The sequence below is a fragment of the Homo sapiens genome, chromosome 18, assembly GCF_000001405.40.
Source record: "Homo sapiens chromosome 18, GRCh38.p14 Primary Assembly".
Taxonomy (NCBI): Eukaryota; Metazoa; Chordata; class Mammalia; order Primates; family Hominidae; genus Homo; species Homo sapiens.
Genome location: NC_000018.10, coordinates 76,473,102 through 76,489,777, shown reverse-complemented (window position 1 = coordinate 76,489,777; position 16,676 = coordinate 76,473,102). Strand labels below are relative to the sequence as shown.

The 16,676-nt window shown below is 40.6% G+C and overlaps 1 protein-coding gene across 14 annotated transcripts in view, besides 3 other annotated features; it reads left to right on the top strand.

Annotated features, from left to right (window-relative positions):
• Nucleotides 1-16,676, top strand: part of ZNF516 (zinc finger protein 516) — a 138,738-nt gene that overhangs the window by 6,642 nt on the left and 115,420 nt on the right. For 3 of the 14 annotated variants that reach the window (XR_007066258.1, XM_047437950.1, XM_047437957.1), the window contains exon 1: nt 193-16,676. This exon is cut by the window's right edge. The exons of the other annotated variants lie outside the window; for them this stretch is intronic. The gene's annotated coding sequence lies outside the window, so the exon portion shown is untranslated. Of the gene's footprint in view, nt 1-192 lie in introns of those variants that run through there. 14 annotated transcript variants of the gene reach the window in all.
• Nucleotides 9,465-10,035: an enhancer, noted in NCBI's record as "H3K27ac-H3K4me1 hESC enhancer chr18:74191699-74192269 (GRCh37/hg19 assembly coordinates)". NCBI's record gives its function as "activates a minimal SCP1, AML or CMV promoter by ChIP-STARR-seq in naive and primed H9 embryonic stem cells {active_cell/tissue: H9 hESC(naive and primed)}" and the evidence as "EXISTENCE:reporter gene assay evidence [ECO:0000049][PMID:30033119]".
• Nucleotides 10,036-10,607: an enhancer, noted in NCBI's record as "H3K27ac-H3K4me1 hESC enhancer chr18:74191127-74191698 (GRCh37/hg19 assembly coordinates)". NCBI's record gives its function as "activates a minimal SCP1, AML or CMV promoter by ChIP-STARR-seq in primed H9 embryonic stem cells {active_cell/tissue: H9 hESC(primed)}" and the evidence as "EXISTENCE:reporter gene assay evidence [ECO:0000049][PMID:30033119]".
• Nucleotides 11,732-12,931: an enhancer, noted in NCBI's record as "MED14-independent group 3 enhancer chr18:74188803-74190002 (GRCh37/hg19 assembly coordinates)". NCBI's record gives its function as "activates an origin of replication core promoter dependent on BRD2, BRD4, P300/CBP and CDK7 cofactors, and independent of MED14, by STARR-seq in HCT116 cells {active_cell/tissue: HCT116}" and the evidence as "EXISTENCE:reporter gene assay evidence [ECO:0000049][PMID:35650434]".

Below are 16,676 nucleotides of genomic sequence, written 5' to 3'. Positions count from 1 at the left end.
ACTAGATCAAGAACTTTAACTTTGAGAAATGTGTCTGCTATGAATTGTTGACACCCTGAGAATAGTTTACCTCACCAATGTTTTCCCATTGTTATCTGTAAACAACCTTCAGAGTCTACTAATTTAGAGATTTTATTTTTCCTGGAACCCTGAAGTCCTACATTTCTAACTTTTTTTTTTTTTTTTTTTTTGTAAGATGTTGTCCCAGAGACCAAAATTGACTGAAGGGAATGAGAGAGGTCTTTGAAAACAGGTCACAATGTGAAAAGCACTTTGTCTCCACTTTCATAAATGAAACTTTTAATTCCATTTACCTAACTTCCCCCTGCAAGGAGATATTTGAGTTTTATAAGTGAAGCATTTGATGTGATTAAGTTTAGCAACGTATGTGAAAAAGGAAAGGAGACTTCTGTAAAGAATACTTTGAAATGAGGTATACTCCAACAGATGGTTTTCAGTCTTACCAAATGGGGAAAAATGATAATGTGACCTAGCAATTTACGTAGAGTTTAGTCATGGATTATTCTTGAAAAACCAGTACTCAGTGTATTGGGTCGTTGTGGATTTTTATTTGTTCATTTTCCAGAATACGTATTGGTCTTATTTATAATTTAAGAGAAGGAATCTTTTAAAAAGAATTTGGTGGGAGTGGTTGTAAGTCTGACTGGAGACTGTGTTTAGAGTTTCAGCTGCATTATACCTTAATGCTGTAGAGATAGAGACTGAAATATAAGCTCACTGCGTTCTGCAGCAGGGAGCTTGTCCAAACGTGTGCACTTTCCTGTATAATATGCTTGTTTAAATGTTGAAGACATGCATTATTTTGTTTTTTACTCTATTTTGATTTAGGGGAAAAGGACTTCTGTTAATTACCTAATTAAAAGTGGTATTTCGCTTATTACTAGATTTCCAACTGAAGAAGGCATTGCTATTAAATGTGCAGGAAACACATATCAGCTTTCTCTTTGGTTTTCAGCTGGCCAAATTTAACTGGAGATGTGTAACTTTCTCAGTGATAGACATGGATTTAATTATTAGTAATAGAACTGTAATGGAAGAAAGTTAAATTTATTTGATTAGGTATCTGCATTATAAATGTTTGAACTTGGAAGTCATATTTCTTCTTCAAAAGCAGACATCTTTCATGCTGTTAATGTTTATACATTTTAGTGCTTGGATAAAGCTATTCTGACACACTCAATTAGTTCTTTCAAAAATGCATCTCTTTGCTGTCCCTCCCCCTCCCCCTCCCCCTCAAAAGTTCTAGAAGCTGTGGGAAAAGTTCAGTTGTCTATCTACTGAACGTAGTCCAAGGAATACCCGTGGGTTTGTTCACTGCTCGGGGAGCTGGACGTGTGCCGCTCTGACTTCCTTTGCACATCCTTGCTTCCCTGAATTTGCATTTATTGCCTAACTAGCATCCCGCAAAAAGGCCTTTCCTGGCTGCCTGCGAATTGGCACCTTGGAGCTTCACTTCCAGCATTGTTAATGGCTAAACGTGAAGAACTAATTTTATTACTGTATTTAGCTCACAGGGCCTTGGAAGCGGCCCCTACTCTGTTGTTGGGAGCTGCATCTCATTTAGAGTTGCATTTTTCAAGTGAATTGTAGTGTCAGGCTGTGCATCCGTTGTGGGGTCTGAGTGGGTGATGGTTGGAATACATCTCCCCGTGTATGAGAGGCACCGAGGGATGTGGAGGTTCTCGGAGGCAGATGGAGGTGGGGGCTGTGGACAAGCCTCTGTTTGTGCAGCAGTGATTATTTGGTTGTTCGACTGTTTGGTTAGGTTCCCCTTGGGCTGGTCGCTAACTGGTGGCATGAGCTGACAGTGTAGCTGTTCCCTTCTTCTCCCTCCCCTCCTGGGGGCTCTCATCCTCAGTCCTTCCACCTGACTGGCCGAAAGTGTAGTGGCAGCAGCCTATTACGGGAATGTATCTAGGGGCCATAGAGGAGACAGCATTTTTCAAATTCAAGCTCTGGCCTCAGTTTTCTCTGGTCCCAGGAACCAGTGAGTTTGGGAGTGGGGCAGGACATTCTCTTTGATAGAGGAATGACCTCTGCCCTCAGTTAAGACCACCCTCCCACCCACCATTGGATGAGAACTATCAGAATCGTTCGATTTTCAGGAATTTTGAAAAGGCACAAACCTATTGTAAGAAAAGAATCATGTCAAATGTTTACATTTATGAATAATTAATAAAATTAACCTTATGGGAGGAGGAGGAAGAAAGAACAACTTTTACTATGACTTTAGAATGTCTCCTGTTCTTTAAAAAGTATCTTTATTTTAAAATTAATTTTTCTAACTGAAGAATATTTTAGGGGAATGACTTAAATAGCTATAAGGAAGGATATATTTATAGGGGCTATAAATGCATCATTTGTATTTGAAATTTCTAGCATCCACTACAGTGTACGAAGTGTATTTTAGATGGACTGGTAAAAACCAGCAGTTGCAACTGTCTGTTTTGCATTCCTTATGCTCTGCATCTGGCCACACGTGACTTGAACAGCTGAAGCTTCTCTTTCCAAAGCTAGAGCCATCATCGTATTTATGTCTAGCCTGAGATGTTTTCCGATGGTATACATTCGAATTGTAAAGCAGTGTAATTTGTGGCTCTCAACATGCCTTAAAAGTCATTTCCAAAAAAGATCTGGCATTTAATCTTTAATTCAAATGGTACTGAAAATTACAAAGCAGGAGTAATTAGAAATGCAACTATTTTTAGAAAGCAAACATGTAAATATATGTTAAGTGATGACTAAAACACAAGCAGGAGAGTAGGAAAAATTATTTAAAAGACAACTATAGTAGGTTTAGATACATCTTACCATATACTGTATTTTAACTCTGTGTTAATTCTGGTAGATTTACTTCGTATTCCTGTTTCTGTACCTTCCCCCCGAACCTTGGTCAGGAAGTAAGTAAAGTCTATAGAATCTCAGAATTTACTGGGCCGAGAAGAGATGTATATCGTATGTAATTGTGAAATCCAGACAGTTCCTCAACTGAGTGGTGAAAATGGGATGAAATCTTAGTGTGTTTTGTTATCTTCAAGGCAGAGGGAATCTGGTGTTTTTTTTTTTTTTTCCTTCAAAACCAGGTAGACAACGTCTCTCACCGCCCTGGGGAGTTGCTGGTGCTGGCTCAGCCTCCAGGATACAGCTGTCCTGTTATTTTCTTGCTTTTTTAGGAGATGGTGTGCGTAGAGGAAGATGTGGTGTTAGTTTTCAGGACACAGTTAAAGACAGGCTTAAAAAATCAAGGTTCTCTATTAAAACTATAATTTCTTGTTAATGGCTAAGAATTAAAAATTTTTCAGCGCTATTAACACTTGAAGAACTCTCTAATCCCCCACTCTTCCCATGTGAAAGTAAAGGACATTTGTTTAGGAATTTTTTTGTTTCAGAAAAGGGCAACATGTGTCTGTCTTTGCCATATGGTACTATTTAACCTATATTGCATGAGCTGACAAGACACTGTGTTTGGGCATTGATTTATTTTAGCATTCGAGAATGTTCTTTGAAATTTAGTACAGTAAATGATGCATTGAAAGTTGTACAGAATGGTCGTTTGTGGCTTTAGCAGATTCTTTCTCAGTTGATACTTAAGGGTGTAGTGAACAAGTTTCACTTTTTTTCCACCGATACAATTTTTGTGAGAAATAGTTTGCCATTCAATGCTGAGTGACTGTTAATTCAGGAAAACACAGACTTGAATATAAGTAGTTAAGACTTCTGGGGGTCACAAATAAGGCTAAGAGTTGGGCAGGTCAGAAAGAGAAGATTCACTGTTTAGTTCCTGATTATTCTGGTGATTTTAACCTAGAGCAAAAAAGTATGTTTATTATTATTATTATTTTTGTCAAAAAGACTCAGCTTTTGTCCCCATCTTTTTTTTTTTTTTTTAAAGAAATGAGTTAATGAACAAATGGACAATCCTATTTAATAGTTCCCCTGAGCTTCTGTGGTGCGGCCCTGGAATTATCTACAGGCAGAACTGAGATGTTTTCACTTAGGCTGTGTTTTGTTTACACATGCTGGTTTGGGTTTTTGGGTAGACCTGTGTTGAATTCACAGGGTGGCTCTTATGCCATGTTGCAGGAATTTATTAGTATGGAACCCCACAGAAGATTCCACCTCCATTTTTAACATTCTGTATGGCTGTCGAGTCGACACCAAAGCAAATGTGTCTCCAGACACCTCTCTCTCGTTGTCTCAGTCTTGTTGGCTTTAATCATCCTGTTTTCTCTGTTTTACGAAAGAAGTAAACAAATTTCTATTCATCCACACGTGTGTCCCCAAAGCAAGGCATATGTGGACTGAAAGGTGGGCTGGGGCTTTGCTTCGAGAACGTGAGCGAAGAGCGTGTGAGTGCACGTTGCCTTTGGTGATGCATCATTTATATTGACATTATCAGTGACACAGACAGAACATTTTTATGCCAGTTTGAGAAAATACCATCATTCACATTGATAATCATATTCCCCCCAGATTTAGATTAATCATTTCAAAGCTTTTCATGTCTTTAGCATGACCATTAGCATAATGATGATAATTTGTCCCTTTGAGTAACACCAAGCATAATTTAAATTAACGTTATTGTGTTGAGTGCAGTGCAACCCCAGGTGCTCAAGTAGCTTCCTTTTTTCAAAAATGGCTTTTTACTTTTTAAAATGAGAGGCAAGCAAGACGATCTCATTCCTAAAACCAACTTAAAAAATAAAAGTGTTAATAAATAAGTGAATTCCTAATGTAAAAGTGCTTGCCGTAGCAACGTAAACTTGGGGACAATTCTGTAGAGTCATGCGATTAGTGGTTTAGTGGTAGGATTAAAATTAGCCTCGGTAAATTACCCTGGTGACAGAAAAGCAGAATCTGTTAATGGTTTCACAGGAAGATTGGCTTATCAGTTATTTTCTAGGTTGATGAAAGATTATGGGCTGCTAAGAATTTGAACTTTAGAAAGTAAGGTTGATTTTCCTAATATTTACATATTTTAAAGTATAGGTATTGATTAAAAAGAAAGTTATTACAGTTAGAATTTGGGATTTTATATGTGTGTGGGAGATGATTTACAAACCAGGTTTTTTGCTTAGCTGTGAACATTAAGGGGGCCGTCGAGAGTGTGTGTTTTAGGCAATCCTTAAATCCCGTCCAGGGGAATAGTAGACCATTTTGGAAAGCATTTTACATGTTTTGGACCCACGAAAACTCCATTTAGATTCCTACAAGGTGGTAGGTGATGAAACTGCACCTTCTTGGCCCGAGCGGGGTTAGGGCGGCCGCCATTTTAGAGCACGGTGTTATATCGTTAGGAGTGTTACATTGACTTGGTGTAATGACCGTGAAGGAAAGCATTTGCTTTCGTGATTGTTTATGTTTCTTTGTAAACTTACATTATTTGTATTTGGGCTTGTTTTAGAAGGTTAATATAGACAATCATATATGTGTTATAACTGCAGGAAACTTGGAGGTGATTTTTGAGTGAATCCTGACATTTTACAGGTACTGAAATGCAGAAAGATTTAATAACTGAGCCAAGGCCACAGGAATGGTGCAGAGCTCAAATCCAGGCGTCCTGATTCCCAGCTTAGCCTTTTTCTCCATACGCTGTGCTGAATGCACAGAATAAGGGGAGGTGAAAGTCCACTCTGAAAAGGAACTTGGTAAGCGTGTTGTCATGCTGAGTTAGCACTGCCAAGTGTGGACCTGGCAAATAACCAGGTGTTTAGGGCAGTGTAGGGAGAGCCCCCCTTCAGCTTTGCTTGGATGCTTAGAGCTTGCTCCACAGAGAAGAAACATGTTGAGTAAATGTTTGCGTCTTTCCACGGGGATGTCGTGCGAGTTGGGCACTGGACCAGTTGTTGCTGTCTGAGGCTGCTGTCACATGGCAGCGCTCAAGGAGGAACGTGGAAAATCTGGTCACCAAAGACCAGGCAGCTATCTGCGCAGATTCCCAGCCCCGCAGTGGGTGCCAGGATACAGGTTTTCTTGCGAAACCCAATGGTTATCACCAATAGTAACATATTTTTATAAGAGAGTAAATACAGAGTGTAAGTGACCAACGTGGGATATAGAAAATCCTAAAAGAAAAAAGCCACCAAAAAATCATAGGGAAAGGGGTCGGAGAAGACCAGGTCAGTTCTGATAGACGGCTGGGCCCTGAGACTCACCTTCTTAAGCCAGGAAGATGAAATGCGGGTGGGCCAGCTGACGGGGGACATTTGGCACTCATGGGTTCTCAGTGTGGTGCGGCAGATGACCCGTGACAGACAGATGCCGATGACGGACAGATGCTGATGACGGACAGATGCCGAGAGGGAGCTTCCCACAGGAGTGGGCAGGGAGGCGGCAGAGACAGAGTGGATCATGGCAGGTGCTTTCCTCTGAGCTCAGCTTTGGTGCCAGGGGACAAGATGGCCACAAAGAGGAGGTGTTGGGGACCCCAGAGAGCTGAACCCAGGAAAGTGTGCATTCTCCTCCTTTCTTTCCAATGGTCAGGTTGGCTGGCTTGAGCTGTGTCTGCCCCGGGTTGCTGTCTGGACCTTTGCAGATTATTAAACACCTCCTGGAGGAGTCTCCACCCCGCCTGCCTTCTCCAGCAAAGCAGGCAGCTGGGCCAGGGAGCAGGTAGTTTTTCTTTGTTGTGCAAGAGCCGCTTAAGAAACAGTGGCCTTTTGCATTCTCAACATGAGCAAACGTAGCCAACACCCTAGATTTCTTTTCTTAAGAGGAAAAAAATTAGTAAATTCAGAATTTTTTTTCTTTTCTTAAGAAGATAGTACTGAGTACTCTTCATTATTTACCCGAACCTATATACTAGGTGATTTTGCTACCTTTCTAGACATTTCTCAAAATAGGACCAATATAAATGAAGAAATGCAAAGACTTATTTAATCAGTGTAGTCATTTATGGACTTCATCCTGTAGGCCGTGGTGTGAGGATTTTTGCAGGCTCGTTTGAGTATCTGGTCATTGAAATCTCACTATTTGTATGTTGGTAATAATAGTTTGCTTGTTTCTGCCTATTTCATTGCATGAGAGAATGAAGTGTGCACGTAAGGTCACACGTTTGATACAGACAGATACTCTCTAATTTACGACAGGGCTGCCTTCCCAGAAACCCATCCTAAGTTGAAGATACTTTTAAGTCGGAAATGCGTTTAATACCCTTCAGTCTACTGAACATGGTAACATAGCCTCACCTACCTTAAGTGCGCTTGGAATGGGTAAATGTTAGCCGACAGTTGGGCAGGAGCACCTGGCAGTGCAGGTTGCCATGAAGTACCGACGTCCACCCTGGAGATCGCGGGGCTGCCGCTGCCGGGCCTGTGGAGGGAGCAGCTCACTGCTTTCTGCTGACTGCCTGTGGCTTCCTCACCTGGTAAAGTTGAAAAAGTGTAAGTCAAACTTTCCTAAGTTGGGGACCATCTACAGTAAAATACAAACAAAAATAAAGAACGGGCAATGGAATAATAGGTCGCGATGAAGGGAAAAGCTGGATCACATATGTACGTCTTAGGATTCCCTCCCGTTGGTAGATGTGAACCAAAACTTAGGATGTGAGCTTTCTGGCACCTAAAACAAAAAGCAAAACATGGCCGTTGATGTGTTGCACTGACTCTCAGGAAAAAAAGGCATCAGTTCTCCCATGAAGGAAAAGCTTCTTTTAGCATTAGCGCTAAAGTCAACTTCTAAACGTTGACTTTAATACTGGTTGTTTTAATACAGGCTGTATATTCTTACATAGACAGTGCCTTCAATAACATTCTTAAGGCAAAAGCTATTGTAGCTTTTGGAAAGTAGTTCCTTGTAGCTACTTTGATACAAAAAGCCAAGGGCATAAAAACAAAATAAAAGGTATTGAGAGCTACTTTTTGAATTACTATGACAGTAAGATGTAAGTTATCAACATTACTGTTTCCCATTAAATTAATAGAAATTTTATTTTCATTACTAATGACTTATGAACTTGAATCAGATTGGGCAAATGCCTCAATAACTAGTTCCCTAAATAAATAGCCCACCAGTACTCATTTTCTTTCAACAAACATTGATCAAGTGCCTACTATGAACAGAGCATTATTCCGAGTTCTTTATATGTGTTATTTAATATGCACAGGTCTTAGGAAACAGGCAGTAATTCCCATCCCCTTTTACCCGAGAGGACACTGAGGCCTGCACAGGTGAGTAACTTCATCAAAGTCCCACAGCCAGGTTATTAAGCAGCTCACCTTTTGGGCCATTCCCTTGAGTGTCCGACCCTGGTCATGCTTGTTACCCTGTGTGGAGTTCATTTCATTTTGGTCCGAGCCATTTGGGATTATGTAGCTTTAGAGATGACACTATGGGAGACCAGTGTCCCTCCACCCTTCCTCTTTCTAGATGGCTGGGGTTTCTGAAGCATCATCCAAGAGGGGGTTGGGACAGGCTGTCTGCCTCTTTGGGGTCCCCAGCCTGTCTATGGGCCTGCTCTGTTCTGAAAATAAGCAACAATTTTGAGTCATCCATCACAAATGAGAAACTTAAGAGAGTGATCTGAAGAGAATTTGATGCCAAAAAAATTTCTGGGTCAGCTGTAGCCATCCCAGTGAGCTGGTGGGACTTGGTCCCGTCCTGCCTCTGACCAGGCTCAGTGGCCTTGGATCCTAGGTCAGCTCCTGTGCAGTTCCCATGAAGCCCAGAGGGGGCTTGAGCCACACCCTCCTCAGCTCAGAAACCTGGGTCTGTATTTGCAAAACTCCAGGGCAGGGGTCAGCAAACGTTTTCCCTAAAGGACCAGATAGTATTTGATAGACCTGCCTCACAGCTTGAGAGCAGCCCGAGGCAGCCTGGCAGGGAAGAGATGGACTTCATGGGCACTTGACATTTGAGTTCCATGCCATTCACATGTCACAAAATACTCTTCTTTTGATTTTGTTTTTAATCCCAACCATTTTAAAATGTAAAAACCAGCCGGGTGCGGTGGCCCACACCTGTAATCCCAGCATTTTGGGAGGCCGAGGTGGGCGGATCACTTGAGGTCAGGAGTTTGAGACCAGCCTGGCCAACATGGCAAAACCCCATCTCTACTAAAAATACAAAATTAACTGAGCGTGGTGGCGGGTGCCTGTAATCCCAGCTACTTGGGAGACTGAGGCAGGAGAATTGCTTCAATCCGGGAGATGGAGGTTGTAGTGAGCTGAGATCACACCACTGCACTCCAGTCTGGGCGACAGAGCAAGACTCCGTCTCAAAAAAAAAAATATATGTGTGTGTGTGTGTGTGTGTGTGTGTGTGTATGTGTATATGTGTGTGTGTATATATATGTAAAAACCAGCCTTAGCTCACTGGCTGTACAAAAACAGGTGGTGGGAAGAGTTTGGCCCGCGGGCCTGTAGTTCGCTAACCCAGCATTCAAGGGCAGTTTTGCCCAAGAGAAGTACCATGCACGCTATGTCTATCACTTTACGTTTTCTAGTGATCACATCGAGAGGTAAAAGGAAACACGTAAAATTAATGTTAATGATAGTTTTATTTAATCCAGTATATCCAAAATCCAAAATGTTAAACGTGTAGATGACAAGAATTACTACTAAGTTTTTTTTTGTTCTTTTTTTTTTTTTTTTTTTTTTTACACAAAATCTTCAGTGCCCCATGTGCATTTTACCTTCCCAGCCCATCCCAGTTTGGGCCAGCCCCACTTGGCAGCCTTATAGGATGGCATAGCTCTAGGGGCGCCCCGCCACAAACCGCCGCCTGGTGCCAGGGTTGAGTTAGAAATCTCCAGGCAGGTTCCTCTGTTTCTGATTTCTGCTATTTGTTTTCAAACCAGGACACTAAGGGGGAAGGTACATTGCTTTAAAACTGTCTCTGGGGGATCCCAGCAGTTTAAGGGGAAAGGGCTCTTTTTTAATAACCTCAGGCCCTGTCCCAAGTGCCACAGTGGTGAAGTGTCAGGGTCCTGGGTGTGGAGGGGAGGCGTCTCTTCGGGAGACCACAGGGCAGCCAGGAGGCCAAGGGCCTGACCCTGCCAATGTCTGCCCCTCTGCACACTCTTGCAACAGAGGGCCCCTGTATTGGTATTTCCCATGTTCCCTGCACCCAGGTCTCCACTGGTGCAGCATTTGATAACTCAGATTTATTAGCTTCAGCATTGTGGGTCTGCAGGAAGGAATCTTGGTGTGGCTGTGAATCTAGTTCCACATGTGGTGTGACTTCTGGCCCGTTACGAACGCCTGTGCGTCTTCCCTCCATCTGTGGGATGAAAGGGGAAGCCAGCCTGCCCCAGGGGTTAGGAGAGGACCGTGCCCCAGGGACACCTTTGGACAATGGGGAGCTGGAACCCTGTGCAAAGGATCACTCACAGAGCAGGCAGAATTGCAGATGCAGACTGACTTGCCGGGAGAATTTCAGAAAACAGAAGGAAATCATGATGGATTGAGTTTATTCTTTTCCCGAACAATTTCTGTTGTGGTTTGCTGAGAGAATGTGGCCCGTGTTCACAGGGACGTTCTGTTCTTTAGCAGCAAGAGCTGGAACGACTGTTGACCATTTTACCTGCCCTGTAGGTCCAAGTCAAGGCCCCTTTTATTCAAACATCCCGAAGTCATGTGACTCTTAAGATCGCACCAATGGACTTGGTGGACAGACTGAGGTATCCTGATGATGATTGTTCCAGGTCTGTTCTGAGAAGGAACAAAAAGGTTTTCTCTTCCCCAGTGGATCTTTTTTTTTTTTGGACAGAATCTCACTCTTGTCACCCAGGCTGGAGTGCAGTGGCATGATCTCGGCTCACTGCAACCTTCGCCTCCCAGGTTCAAATGATTCTTGTGCCTCAGTCTCCCGAGTAGCTGGGATTACAGGCGCACACAACCATGCCCAGCTAATTTTTGTATTTTTAGTGGAGATGGGGTTTTGCCATGTTGGCCAGGCTGGTCTTGAACTCCTGACCTCAAGGGATCTGCCTGTTTCGGCCTCTTACAGTGCCGGGATTACAGGTCTGAGCCACCATGCCCAGCCCCACAGTGGATCTCTTAAGTGAAAAGCTGCAAATGTAAGCATTTTAATAAACTTTGATACAGAACTGAGAGTGTACTGAAAGTGTGTTTGAAATGCACTCATTTTTCTGCTTTGCTAGAAAAAGTTTTTCTGCTTTTGAAGTTTTGGATCATGAATGTATATATATTCTCTATGTCATCTAATAATAATTTTACATTCAGCCTATAAACTGTAAGGGATTTGTTATTCCTATTTTTTGTAGATTAAAAAATTGTTTATTTTAGAAAAGAGATAATTGTGATATAATTCATTTAGGTAGATGTTATTTGTATTGTATATTAAACCTTAAACCTTTTTTTTCATAATTTGCTGCATTTTAGTTTTGCCAACCTCTCAATATAAACAAGTTTACAAAACCTAGAAACTCTTAACTTTGCTTAGGGTTGAGGAATACCTGGAGTGAAAACCCCAGACAAAGTTGATTTATTTCATACATCATTATTGTACTGGTAGAATAGCAACAAATGCCCTTCCTGTTGAAGAATGAATATTTTATTGAGATGATGGTTTTACATACCTCTCCTCTCCGCAGTCTTCATCGATGAATTTGTCACTCTCTTTATGAATCTGTCACTCTCTCATTTGTCCTGAAAATCTGAAATATAGTTGTTGGAGTAGAAGTTAGTACACTTTCTGCTCTCCACCAGAGTTTACAAAAACACTTTAAGTTAGGGGCTTTTCACTTAGGAGATCCATTCGTGGGAAAGATAACCTCCTTTTCCCTTCAGAATAGATCTGGAACAAAGTGTATTTCATCAGCTGTTTTTAAGTAGGTCATTTACATATAATAATTAAAAAATGGATAACAATACTGGTTCAGAAAAGCTGTTTCTCAGAAGGAAGAGTGAAGTAACTCAAAGCAAACCAAACTCCTTTAAGAAGATGCTTCTTAAAGCATCTTCTTAAAGGAGATGAGAATTAAATGCAGTGTAATGAGTTTGCATTCCTTCGTTTCAGCAGGTTTTTTTGTGTTGTTTGTGTCTTATTCCCATGCTATTGGGAATTACAGTGAGATAAAAAGGAACCCTTTACAGTGGGTCATTTTGTGAGTGCTTGAGAATGTGTGGGGTGGTTTGGAAGCCAAGTGGAAGGGAAAATGTAGGGGATTTAAAGTATAAAATTGCAAGAGAATCACATTTTGTTGGTGTATTTAAAAGTGCCACAAAGAAAGCACAAAAACCTGACCTTGTTTTTCCCCGGACAGAACGAATCTCGCCTTTTGTCCCATGTGTCTCAAGACTGCTGTCCAACTCAGTTTTGTCACATTTTCAAGGCTAAGGCAGAGTTAAATTGCTTCCTCATTGTGGGGCTGGGTCCCGTTCTTGGAGGTGACACTTCAGGTTACCTGTTACTCCTGCTTATGGATCTGATGTTCAGAGCAGCAAGTTTATTACTTTCACGGAGGGTCAGTTTTCGTGCTTGCTATATTAGTCACTGAAATGCTTCTTTTGATAGGTCAGATGATATTGAAACAAACTAGAATTCTGTTTCCTGTCTGACTTGTGGAATTGCAGTATCAGTGTTCAGAAAACTTACCAGACTTTTGAACGTAAGATCGACTAGCATTCAAGTAGAATTACAAAGTCCAAACGATATGACTCAGCTGGGATAAAAAGTGCTGTTTTATCTTTTTTCTGTTCCAGTGACTCAGCAAAAACAGTGCTTTGGACATACGGAAATGTAGGCAAACGAATATTTCTGCATAAAGGGAAAATGTAGACCTTTACTTTTAGGACGACTGTTTGTTAGTGGACCAGCCCAAAATTCTTTTCAGAGTTTTGCAAATCCACCTGAGTCTCCACAAGTGCAATTTCATCTGTGGGTTCTTCTCTTGAAAGTGATTTAAGCCTCCGTAGCAAGTCACCCCGCACCGGCATACATCTGGGGGGCTCAAGAGCTTAGGCTGTTTCTATCCAGTCATGTGAAATTTATAGTTGTTCAGTTGCCTACGGTTCACCTAGTCAGGTGGGACCTCAGTATTACAATAAATGAAGGTGTTCTGATTAAAACATCCCTTTCTTAGACAAACCATGACTGGTTTTGGAGGTTAGTGGAAAACTGACACAAAACTACAAGCTTACGTTTAATCGCTTGGCAGAATTTCTTTCATATTCATTTGACCACTGTTTAATATGCTTTAAGATGTCTGAAGTTGGAGCTTAGAATGTACACTGTGTCCTACTTTTAAATGAGAGGAATTCCAGTAGCTAAGACCAATCCTATTCCCTGTCCTGCAACTCCTGGATGTGGACACTTTTTTTGCTGGGAAGTGAATTGATCTGAATGTCATTCTTCCAGGGAATTAATATGAAGCTACCCATTTTAATTACTGAACCAGAATAAAACATTGACAACTGGCACTGAAGGCTTTACTCTTTGTTTATCTTGTATAAGGGGATCAAGATAGACAGAGACACTTTGCTTTTAAGACATATACGGTGATTTTTCACAAAATGGTGTGAACATTTAGCACCTTTCTTTTCATACTATAAAAGGAGATGATGGTTGTGGAACTCACTGCAGATAACTCATTACTTGGTTTTCCAGCCACAAATTTGTGTGGGTAATTTAGTTAGAGCCAAATACTTAGGGCAACATTCTCCTTGCCCAAATTAAACCATTTCTTTTCAGATAATAGTACAAAGTGCATAGTTTATACACGACAAAGTCTTCATCATCTTGGCCATCGAGATATTTACAGTCGAAAGAGGAAATTGCATTTTGAGGAAAAAGTGTGTGAGACGTTTCACAACATGAGAGTAAGTTTATTTTATGGAAGCTACTATTGAGCGCCTGCTCTATGCCAGTCACTGTATTAGGCATTTAAATACATTCGCTTGGTGAATGTAGTAAGATCTTTAAATATATACATTTTAAAGAATTTAAAATGGTACAATGTTCTGTGAGTTTTTCTGCAACTAATTTTTTTTTAATTTTGCGTAACATTTCAGTGTATTTGCTTTAAGGCATGTGTAGGGTGCTGTTGTGTGTACACACCCTCAGTGATTTCCAGATGCCCAGTGCCCAGTGTGGCCAGAGCATGGACCCACTGGCACAGATTTGGTCTGTGAGCAGCCAGCAGGAGGTGCCCGTGTGTGCCAGCTGGCTGCTGCCCTGTGGAGCCGCCTTTCTTTGTCCTGTCTCCTGTTGGACATTTGGGCTGCTATCAGCTTTCTCTTAGCGTGCAGGGAACTTTACTAATATACGAGTTTGTGCACTTGTGGGAATATTTCTCTAGGATAAGTTCCCCGAGGTGGAATTTTGGGGATGGAGGGGCATTTTAATTGACAGATACTGCCAAATTTACCAACAAAGATAAAGTACCATTTTACGTTCCCTGCAAAACTCAGTGCTTTCTCTTTGTCAGTGCTTGATATTATCAGTCGTTTAAGTCTTGGCCAACTTAATAGAGGAAAATACCATTGCATTTAAAAATCGTAAGTGATTATGAGGATTTCTTAATGTTTATTGCTCATTTTATCTCTCTTGTGAATCACCTGTTACTTCGTCACATTATCCAGTGAAGTTATTCATGATTTGTTGATTTATAAGAACATTTTGTTTATTGGGGATAATAGTCTTTTGCTGATGAGTTACAAATATCTCTTTGGGTAACTTGTTTTGTATCTTCCGTCACATATGTTTTCCAGATACAGAAACATTCAGGTAGCCTATATATGAGTTGTTTCTTAAAATGTGTGAAAGATTTCAGGTGTGGACTTGACTCATCTCTCACATTTGGGTAGGTGGAGGAGAGAGCTCTGGTTTCTTGCTTAAATATTGGTCTGTTTACTTTTTTTGTCCCTGAGTGAATTTTGGACAGTTAGATTTTATTAGAAAATTATATTTTTCATCCATATTAACAAGTGTATTAACCTAGAGTTTGAAAAACATTGTATGATTTTTTAAAATTTTCCTTCTGTCTGTGGTTATTAGACCTAATTCCTCCCAACCTCTTTTTTCTTCTTGATTAGGCCAGCTAGTTATTTATCTCATTCATTGGGGTTATCATAGAGCCAATTACTGATTTTGTGTATCAGTTTTACTGTAGTTTTTCTTATTTATTGTTACTCTTTAAAATTCAAATTTAAGGGTTTTATTATATTTTTGTTACTGGTTGAATTGAATATTTTTAATTATTGTAGCAAGTAATTGAATTTTATTTTAGCTTTCTTGTGTACCATAAATTTTGACACTGGTACTTTGAAGAGAGTTTGCAGTTTCACTTTGATTTCTTCTTTGTTTCAGGAGTTGTTACAGAGAGTTTAGAATTTTCCAAATGGCTGAACTTCTATGAGTGTTGTTTTTGTTTTTGCTTGTTAATTTTTAGTGTCATGGTACTGTATTATGGAGCTCCTGGGACCTGTACTGTTTTGAATTTATGGAACTTTTAGAGCCTTCCTTGTGGTTAATATGGAGGCATTTGATGTTCTATTGCCAATTTAGCAAAATAGCAAATTGTGGAGTGTGATACTCATATATTAGATAAGCCTTACTTTATTTTTCAAGCTGTCTGTTTCTTACTACTTTTGCTTACTTAATCTGCCATGCTTACGAGAGATTTGCCAATTCTTCCAGATCATTTTTCTCTGTTTGTCTTTTCAGGTATTCACTGTAGCTGTTTCTAAATGCATTTTATTCTGTGTTTGTGTTATTCTGTGTTATTTGACTTAAAAGTGTAATATAACTACAGCTGGGGGAGGGGTGCTTTCCTGTAATCCCACTTCTTGGGAGGCTGAGGCAGGAGGATTGCTTGAGCCCAGGAGTTTGAGGCCAGCCTGGGCAACACAGAGTAAGACCCTGTCTCAAAAAGAAAGCCCCCCCCCCCCCCACACAAAAACAACCAACAACCCAGTGTTAGGACAATTACATCTTCTTTGTGAGTTCTACTTTACCCTTTATGATTATAAGATAGCTACTTTTTTTTTTTTTTGGAGATGGAGTCTCACCCTGTTGCTCAGGCTGGAGTGCAGTGGTGCAATCTCAGCTCACTGCAAGCTCCGCCTCCTGGGTTCACGCCGTCCTCTTGCCTCAGCTTCCCAAGTAGCTGGGACTACAGGCGCCCACCACCAAGCCTGGATAATTTTTTGTATTTTTAGTAGAGACAGGGTTTCACCGTGTTAGCTAGGATGGTCTCCATCTCCTGACCTCGTGATCCGCCCACCTTGGCCTCCCAAAGTGCTGTGATTACAGGCGTGAGCCACCGCACCCAGCCAACTACTTTTGTTTAATTGCCTTTTTTGACCACACATTAAACTTTTAATGGTATATTTTTTCCATGTTGCTTTTGTTTGTACTTTTCTGATATATTTTTCTCTACGTGTCCAGCTTTTCCGAGTTCCTCAGTCATAGGTGTTTTTTTTTTTTTTTTTTTTTTTTGCAGAGAGCAAATAGTCAATTTAATTTTTAACCCTATCATGGAGTCTTTTTTTAAATAAGTGAGTTTATTCCATTAATATTTATTTCTGAAACTGACTTACTTGGTCTTCTTTCCTAATTAAAGAAAAAAAAAACTTTTGTGCTTCCTCGCTTTTTCTTCTTTTCTCTTTATTGGAATATGAATTATATTTCTTGTCCTTTAATTATTAAAATCAGAAAGCATATAGAAAGCATATAATGCTTTTGCTTCCACT